Consider the following 10,209-nt stretch of genomic DNA (forward strand, 5'->3'; position numbering starts at 1 on the left):
GGTTCAAGTGATTTTCCTACCTCAGCCTCCCGAGTAGCTGGGATTATAGGCGCCTGCCACCATGCCCAGCTAATTTTTGTATTTTTAGTAGAGACAGCGTTTCGCCACATTGGCCAGGCTGATCTCAAACTCCTGACCTCAGGTGATCCGCCCGCCTCAGCCTCCCAAAGTGTTGGTATTACAGGGATAAGCCACGGCGCCTGGCCCCAAATTCTTGCATTTAGTTTTTCAACAAATATTTATATAAGGCCTGCCCTCCACCTGAGGTTGCCAAGATTAAATTCAGGATCTAAGAATATGGCTGGCATTGTCTGTCAGAGTCAAGTTGGCTAATTAATGTGGGCATGCTATTGTTTTCCTGTCTGGCCTAGTATTGCCAAATGGCTCGATTAATGCAATAAAACTCAAGAGGGCTTGATCTTCCTTTAACATTTATAATTAACAGGGGCTCAGTTCTGTGCTAAAAAGGTCTGAGTAGAGAATTTATTGGGCCCTTTGCCTATTCAAACTAGTATATAACCATTAACTAGTTAATCCAAATAGCCCCTTAGGGAGGCTTGGTGGAGCCATTATCTGTACATTACTGAAAGCCAGGTGGCCTGCTCATGTCGGAGCTGGTTTACAATGGCTGCCAACTGGAGGCCAGCCCTTCTTCGCTAGGATTGGTCAACTGCTTCCCTCCCAGGCACTCACACATCTGTCTGCATTTTTTCTGACATAAGAGGAACCCCATTTTGCTGCCTTCCAGCCCTACTTGCGAGTGACCTTATTCCCACTACCCTCTCTTCTCAGACACCCCGCCCCAAAAACCATCTGGTGGAAGTGCTAGCCCTTTGAAGCGAGGCTTGGTGACCTTATATTTCAGAAATTATCCCAACTTGCATGCCGACCTCAGCAATTAAGGCTTTGGAGTCAGGCAACTCAGGTTCAAATCTTGCTTCTGATGCTTAGTAGCTGTGTGACTTTGCACAAATTATTCAATCCTTCTTTAACCTCCATTTCCTTCTCTGTGATATGGGGGTTCACAATACTTACCTATGGCATTGTTGCAAGAATTAATGACATCATGTCTGTAATCACTTGGCATGATGCTGGCACATAGTAAGTGCTCAATTTATTGTAGCTATCAAATTAGTAGGCCTTGTTACAAATTGCCTCCAGAAGGAAAAATAAGACACTTCTAAACCATTACATCTGGTCTTTTGAACAAAACTCACCTGAAAAATCTATAGACAGACTAGAAACAAGGCTCTCAAAGTGAGATGGAGCAGGTCTGACCTGTAAATATCCATGTTGTCAAGCTCAGAATATACATATATAATGAGAAAGGAGTATGCCTCATAGAACTTATGCACCTGGATACAGCAAATTGAAGAGAAAGCAGACACACTTTGGAGAAATGCATTTAGTACCCTTGGGAGGCCGAGCTGAAGTATAGCTGAGTAACCAGTATTTTGAAATTTATCTGCTTTCCTGATGCTTTATAGCCTCCATATAAAACCAGTCTAATGACCTCCTTACCGCGCCTGAACAATTTGCTGATGGAGCTGCAGGTTTCTGTGGGCGTGTGTGTGTGTGTGTGTGGGGCGGTGGGGGGGGCTTTTATTTCATTTCTGGAATAAAGGAAGTACAAAGACATTAACTCTGAATCCATCAAAGAAAGAACTCTGTAATTGCAATTTGGCAGTGAGTGTGTTTTTGCTGTGTGCACTGTGAAAGCCAATGATGATTAATCCTGCACATTTATCAGAGCCCAAGAGTAGAGACACAATAATGACAAACGGCATCAGGCAAGATAATGGTTGCGTTTGATCACTACAGACTTGGGCCTGCTGTGATGTACAGGGGTGGTAGCATCAACCAGATCTCAGCCAAGAAATGAAAACCTGCATGTCCACTGTGGTAGCCACCTGCCATCTGTGGCTACTGAGCACTTGAAATGTGATTAGCCCAAATTGAGATGTGCTGTAAGTGTAAAACACACACTGGATTTTGAAGACAGTATGTAAAAAAGAACATAGCAGGCTGGGCACGGTGGCTCACGCCTGTAATCCCAGCACTTTGGGAGGCCAAGGTGGGCAGATCACTTGAGGTTAGGAGTTTGAGACCAGCCTGGCCAATATGGTGAAACCCCATCTCTACTAAAACAACAAAAATTTAGCTGGGCATGGTGGCTCGTACATGTAATCCCAGCTACTAGGAAGGCTGAGGCAGGAGAATCACTGAACCTGGGAGGTGGGGGTTGCAGTGAGCCGAGATTGTGCCACTGCACTCCAGCCTGGTGACAGAGCAAGACTCCGTCTCAAAAAAAAAAAAAAGAACATAACATACCTAATTTTTTATTGAGTACATGTTAAAGTTATAATATTGACTAAATAAAATATATTACTAAAATTTATCTCATATGTTTCTTTGTACTTCTTTAATGTGTCTGCTAGAAAATTGAAAATGATGTGTGACCTACATTTGTGGCTTGCATTATATTTCTTTTGGGCAGAGCTGTTCTACAGTCAGACGTTAACAGGTGAGGCAGACACCGCTTGAGTTTGCTTCTTGGCACACAGTGATTCCTCTTTTTCAGATGACTGCTTTTGTCTTGATTCCAGGGTTGAGTGGTCTCCTAGGTGCTGGTTTTTGACCAGAGGATGAAATGTGACTCAAACCTGTCAGAGTGCTTCCGTGAGAATGCTGGAAGTCGTAACATGGCAGTTGGAGCCGTAACACGTAAAGTGAAGTGATCTAGACCAGGGGTCCCCAACCCCTGGGTCGTGGACCTGTACCAGTCCATGGCCTATTAGGAACTGGGCTGCATAGCAGGAGGTGAGTAGCAGGTGAGCAAGCATTACTGCCTGAGCTCCGCCTGCTCTCAGATCAGCAGTGACATTAGATTCTCATAGGAGCAGGAACTCTATTGTGAACTGTGCATGTGAGGGATCTAGGGTATGCACTCAGCACCACTTATGAAAATCTAACTAATGCCTGATGATCTGAGGTGGAACAGTTTCATCCCAAAAGCATCCCTCCATCCCCTGTCCACGGAAATTGTCTTCCATGAAACCAGTCCCTGGTGCCAAAATGGTTGGGGACTGCTGCTCTAGACGGCCATGATTTTCTATCCTATGGGTCAGGAAAGCAGATGGAGGTTATCTGCAAAGATAAGATAGAGACAAAGCACATGTGTAGGTTTAGAGAGGTACAGGTGAAAGATGGGGAGTGCTGCTGGTGTTTGAGTCTCTGGTTGCAACATATATTTGCCCCAGCTAAATTATCATGCTTTGTCCTGTGAGATACCCTGGATTGCTACTATACATGTCCACTTTTTTTCACTTAATCTAGCACAAATGGGTTTCTCACTGCTAAAAGAGTCTGAATAATTCTGAATAATTCATACTTCAAATCTAGTTTTTGTCATCAGATCAGGTCTAAATAGATTTTCTAGGAAGTTCATAAAGCTGAAGCTTAAGCTTCGGGGCCATTCACTTGCAAAGGTCCCTTCCAAAGCTCCATTTTGTATTTGGAATTTTGTATGCTTTTTCTGTTTTTTCTTTTCCTTCTTTTTCTTTTTCTTTCTTTTTTCTTTTTTTTTTTTTTTGAGTTGGGGTCTCACTGTGTCACCCAGGCTGGAGTGCAGTGGTGCCATCTGGGCTCACTGCAACCTCCGCCTCCCGGGTTCAAGAGATTCTCCTGCCTCAGCCTCCTGAGTAGCTGGGATTACAGGCACATGCCACCACGCCCGGCTAATTTTTGTATTTTTAGTAGAGACGGGGTCTCACCATGTTGGTCAGGCTTGTCTGGAACTCCTGACCTCAAGTGATCCTCCTGCCTCGACCTCCCAAAGTGCTGGGATTACTGGCATGAGCCACCACGCCCGGCTGCATTCTTTTTCTTAAAGAGGGTTATCCAAATTGTATAAACCTCAGGCTCCACAAAATGTGAATTTTCCCTGTATACCCATTCCTCTCTGTGGTTGCAGATACAAACTTTTGGTAATTTCAGAAAGACTATTCCTCCATAACTCCAAATTTATAACTTCTTTAGGTCCTTTGACGAGCCTCCCTCTGCCTGCAATGTTCTGCCTCCAGACTTTTCAGGAGTTGGCTCCTTCTTACAAATCAGGTCTTACTTTCAATGTGTCAAAGAGTAACAGAGCCACTTGTTACAGGTGGTAAGACAAAAAAAATTTATTCAGTACTACTGCCACAAGGGAGAGAGACTTCAGTGTAAAGGCAGCTCAACTCCACCAAAACAAAAGCTTGAAAGCCTTTTAAATCCCGGAGTGTGCTAAAGGAAAGATACTAAAGGACATTAAGGGGGCTTTAGTCTACCTGATTGGGCTATCTGGGTTTGTTAACTGGAACTTCTGTGGAGGAGAAACAAACTGCTCCTATCATTAGGGCAGGAGGTAGTTTTGTAAATTGGAGCAAGGCACCCACAGAAGTTAGGCTCTTACTCTCCCAAAGGAACTGGGAGACAGAAGTACTACCTCCCTGGATGTCTGCCTTTCAAAGAGATGGCTCCTATGTCCTTGAGGAAACTTTTCTGAATGGTAACATATTTACATCTTAAAGGGGCAGGGAAAGGATTCATAATGGCAAGCTTTCTAAAGTAAAGGCTCTAAGAGTAAAGAAATCAGGAACCTATTGTCAGGTCTTGGTGGGAACAGTACATTTTTTTGGCAGTGTTGAGCTTTCTCAAGCAGGCACTTAAAGTGGGGCTGGGGCCAGAAGTCATGCTAGAGTTTAGTCAAGTCTCTTAGTGCAGCAAGGTTGGGAGGGTGGTCAATGGTATTGGATGGAGTCATTTGTGCCAAGGGTTTTGTAGTTCTCAAATGTCACCACCTTCAGAAGGCATTCTCTCTATAACTCACCCAAGGAGTTCCTTCACATCATCTTGTTTTCTTGACAACTTCTTGACCTTTATTTTCTTACATATGCCACCTCCTACTTTTTCTAAAATGAAAGTACCATAAGAGCAGGAATACTGTCTTGCTCGCTGCTGTAGCCCCAGCATCTAGAACAGTGCCTGGCACATAAGAGGCATTCAATAAACATCTGTTAGAATTATATTTACAAATATTTATAAAGTGTTTGTGTGCTGGGCATTATTCTAACACCTTAACAAATAAAGTTCCCAAGTTTCTATTATTGTCTATACTCTGGATCAGATTTTCAATTCCTTTTTTTTTTTTTTTTTTTTTTTTTGAGATGGAGTTTCACTCTTGTTGCCCAGGCTGGAGTGCAACGGCTTGATCTTGACTCACTGCAACCTCTTCCTCCTGGGTTCAAGCTATTCTCCTGCCTCAGCCTCCCGAGTAGCTGGGATTACAGGCATACGCCACCACGCCCAGCTGATTTTGTATTTTTAGTAGAGACGGGGTTTCACCATGTTGGCCAGGCTGGTCTTGAACTCCTGACCTCAGATGATCCACCCACCTTGGCCTCCCAAAGTGATGGTATTACAGGCATGAGCCACTGCGCTTGGCTCAATTCCTTTTTTTTTTTTTTTTTTTTTTTTGAGACAGAGTCTTGCTCTGTCACCCAGGCTAGAGTGCAGTGGCATGATCTCGCCTCACTGCAACCTCTGCCTCCCGGGTTCCAGCAATTCTCCTGCCTCAGACTCCCTAGTAGCTGGGATTACAGGCACGTGCCACCACGCCTGGCTAATTTTTGTATTTTTAGTAGAGATGGGGTTTCACCATGTTGGCCAGGCTGGTCTTGAACTCCTGACCTCAAGTGATCCGCCCACCTCACCCCCGCAAAGTGCTGGGATTATAGGCGTGAGCCGCCATGTCCAGCACTTAATTCTTTTTTATAAGGAAGAAAACTGCAACTCATCAGCAAATATTTATTAGGCTATGCCTGTGTTCCAGGTACTGGGCTAAGTGTTTCACAAACATTATCTCAAACGAATCCTCACAGCAACCTTTTAAGGTAGGCTATTCACTCAAGACTGCATTTGGCTGCGTGTAACCAAATCCTGACAACAGTGGCTTAACCCACTAAGAGTTAATTTCATCATGTAACAAGAAGTCTGGGGCATGTGGTCCAGGATTTATCACGAACCCACCAAGGCCTGGGTTTCCTGTTTTCCTGCTGTCTCGTTCCTAGAATGTGGCTCTTATGAGACGATTGCAACCATTCTAGGTGTCATTTTCTTTCTTCAGGCAGGAACAGGGGAAGAATAAAGTTCAAAGAGTATGTATCAGCTGAATCTCTCCCTTCTGATGAGGGATACAATTGTCTTGGAAGCTCCTTATATGATAATACTGTTTATACCTTGATACAGTTAGGCTTTGTGTCCCCACCCAAATCTTATTGTGAATTGTAATCCCCATAATCCCCAGGTGTCAAGGGAAAGACCAGGTGTAGGTAACTGAATCATGGGGAAAATCAGTTTTCTCCATGCTGTTCTCCCGACAGTAAGTCCTCACAAGATCTGATGGTTTTATAAGGGGCTCTTTCCCCTTCACTCAGCACCTTTCCTTCCTGCTGCCGTGTGAAGGTGCCTTGCTTCCCCTTCATCTTCTGCCATGATTGTAAGTTTCCTGAGGCCTCCTCAGCCATGCTGAACTGTGAGTCAATTAAGCCTCTTTCCTTTATAAATTACCCAGGCTTGGGCAGTTGTTTACAGCAATGTGAAAACAGACTAATACATACCTCATACTGCTTATATACCTCCCAGTGGTCAAACTGAGCCACTCTGAGTGGCAAGTAAGTCTGGAAGGTGAGTATCTTAACTTTTATTTACTTCAGGTATGGGGTCGGCTGGGCTGGTCTTAAACTCCTGGCCTTAAGCAATCCTCCTGCCTTATACCCCCTAGTAGCTGGGATTGCAGGCAGCAGCCACCACACATGGCTGAGTATTTTTAACTGGGCACATTGCTGCCCTGCATAAAATTCAAGTTCTGTTGGTAAAGAGAAAGAGAAGAGTAGATATTACATAGAGAATTAGCTGTGTTGGCCATGACTACGTTTTGTTATTATATCCAGGGCCCTGAAGAGTAACCAGGCTTGCAAGTACTCTAGGAATTCCAAGTGTTTGGGACAGCTGGAAACACTGAAAGTTCTGAAGGCTGTGTAGGATTTGGGTTATTGGATAGAGGAGAAAAGCATTTTATTTTACAGAGGAAGAACCAAGGCTACAAATGGTGAAGTGTTTTCCTCAAAGTGTAGCATCTAAAAAGACGTAGCGTGGCTGGGCATGGTGGCTCCTGCCTGTAATCCCAGTACTTTGGGAGGCTGAGGTGCACAGATCGCTTGAGCTCAGGAGTTTCAGACCCAACCTGGGCAACATGGTGAGGCCCCATCTCTACCAAAAATACAAAAAAAATTGTCAGGTGTGGAGGCACACCTGTAGTCCCAGCTACTCGGAAAGCTGAGGTTCAAGGATTGCTTGAGCCCAGAGGACAGAGGTTGCAGTGAGCCGAGATGACACCACTGTACTCCAGCCTGGGTAACGAAGTGAGACCCTGTCTCAAAAACAAAACAAACAAACAAAAAAAGCACCGGGCGCGGTGGCTCGTGCCTGTAATCTCAGCACTTTGGGAGGCCAAGGAGGGCAGATCACAAGATCAGGAGTTCAAGACCAGCCTGGCCAACATTTGAAACCCCATCTCCACTAAAAATACAAAAGTTAGCTGGGCGTGGTGTTGTGTGCCTATAATCCCAGGTACTCAGGAGGGTGAAGCAGGAGAATCGTTTGAACCTGCGAGGCGGAGGTTGCAGTGAGCGGAGCTTGCGCCACTGCCCTCCAGCCTGGGTGACAGAGCGAGACTCCGTCTTGAGAGAAAAAAAAAAAAAGATGTAGGGAGGAAAAACAAAGATTAAGAACTGTAATTCAAAGCCAGGACTACCTGATTCCAAAGCCCATATTCTTAAGAATTGGGGCCAGGCATGCTGGCTTACAGCTGTAATACCAGCACTTTGGGAAGCCGAGGTAGGAGGATCACTTGAGGCCAGGAGTTCAAGAGCAGCTTGGGTAATATACCAAGACGTTGTCTCTAGGAAAAAAAAAATTTTTTTAATTAGCAGGGTGTGGTGAATGGTGGTATGCACCTATAGTCCTAACTACTTGAGAGGCTGATGTGGGAGGATTGTGGAGCCCAGGAGTTTGAGGTTACAGTGAGCCATGATCATGCCATTGCACTACGGCCTGAGTGACAGAGTGAGATCCTGTCTCTAAAAACAAACAAACAAAAAAACCCCAAAGAATTGGGCTTTGGTGGGTCTTAAATATAGTTAAATCGTGATTTTTCTGGTATAGAGTGAGTGGTCTTTTCCTGATAGCTTTTAACAGTAACAACGTTGATTGAGTACTTATGTGTGATTTTCCTTATAAACATTATCTCATTTTGAAAACGGCTTTTTAAAAAAATGTAAAAATCACTCTTAATCATTGTATAAACAAAACAAACAAATCCAATCAACATGGAAAAGAACTAAGAAAAAAGTAAAATCTTCAGAAATCTCACACCCAGAGAAAACCAAGCTTAACATTTTGATAAACATCTTTCCAGACATCTCTCTTTGTAAATAAACAGAGATAGCTGTTTAACTACATAAGTGGAGGCACACCATATATGTTTCTCTGTAGATATAAATTATCCTAGTTAATCATCCCATCAACCCTATGGGGTAGGCATCATTACCTTCATTTTATAGGCTTAGAATGGTTAGATCACAGGCTCCAGGACACAGAACTAACAAGTAGTCAATAAGTTTCAGCATTATCTGAACTGACTACTTCAATTCCCTGGCACAATTAGAGTTAGACAAAGTAAAGATGTTCTTCCATGGAGAATTTTTAAATATGTGTATATTAAGATGGCATCAAGGCATCTTGGTGACAGGAAAACACAGCTGGCTTAGCAGACTCAGCATCTATAGTGAATATATCCATTATGAATAAAATACAGTGAAGCATTTTCAGTGCTGTAAGGCTTCTGGGAGACACTGTTAGTTTGAAGTCTCTGTGTGAAGCAATGCTGCCTTCATGTTACTCCGGGCAATGCTACCTGGTCTATCACATGACCAAGTCTTCTAGGACTGTCAGTGCTTACAGCTCGTGATCATTGCAAGGGATCTTTATTCTGGTGCATTGCAAATGACTTTATTCATACCACACCCCAGCCCCAGCTCTGCTGATGCTTTCCTTTGTAGTTGTATTTGCCAGAAGTTGTGGACCAAGTTGAATAATCTTTAGAGCTGCAGGATTTTGAGTGAATGAATGAAATAGGTGTCCTTCCTCCTTTGTTGATGAATAACAGTTCAAGTGGGTCAATGAGCCCCCTGAAGTCTTCAAAAGATGTTTTACCATTAACAGAGTACTGATTAAGTTATGGTACATCCATATTATGGATTATGGCACATCCATATGCTGGAAGACCATGTGAATGAATGAATGAGGTGGATCAGGAAAGAATGCCAGTTGTATAATTCAGTTAGAAGAAAAAAAACCAAGCTGCAGAACATATTGTAGAGTACGCTTCACCCTTTTCCCCCTTTTTGGTAACTTTTAGAAAAGAATATAAACATACATGTACTTTTTCTGGTAGAACCCATGAAAAACTATTAATAATCAATAGCTGTTATCATTAGGAAGGAAGGAATAGAAGTTAGCACTTGTCGTGTTATGCTTTCATGTTTAAAATTTCTACTCGTATGCATGTGTAACTATTATAATGTCATAATTATTATCTAATACAGTCAGGAGTGAGCTGGGCAATAAGAATGTGGGTCATCAAATGTTTTCTTCTCTGTACTTCTCCATGCTTAAACAACATTAAAATTTAAGTTTAAATGATGCTTTAAGAGACATTTCCTTTCTCTTTGAAAGAACAAGGGGCCCTCTCACCTTATAGACTCTTGTTGTTAGAAGAAATTCACAGAATAGCACTGTAAGCGCAGGGCTCCAAGTGATACAATAGATCCGAGCAATAGTGTGATAACTGAATCCAGTTTGGAGGACAGATTTATCTTTTCTTTTTCAATTGTTATTATAAGTCAGGCTAGACTACCAAATAGTGCCAATTCAGTTCAGTTGGTGGTGTCTGACTGGGGAGCTGTGTTGAGAAGAACCAAGAGGCCAAGTCCGGCTTCGCTGTGGTTGGTGAGCCAGGCTGCCATGGGGTGAGGGTGGGGAGTGGAGTAAGAGTCAATTTCCCTTGTCTGAAGTTCAAGCTCAGTGTGGGTGGGTGTCACCAAGGGACAA

This window comes from Homo sapiens, chromosome 5 (assembly GCF_000001405.40).
Source record: "Homo sapiens chromosome 5, GRCh38.p14 Primary Assembly".
In the NCBI taxonomy this organism is placed as follows: Eukaryota; Metazoa; Chordata; class Mammalia; order Primates; family Hominidae; genus Homo; species Homo sapiens.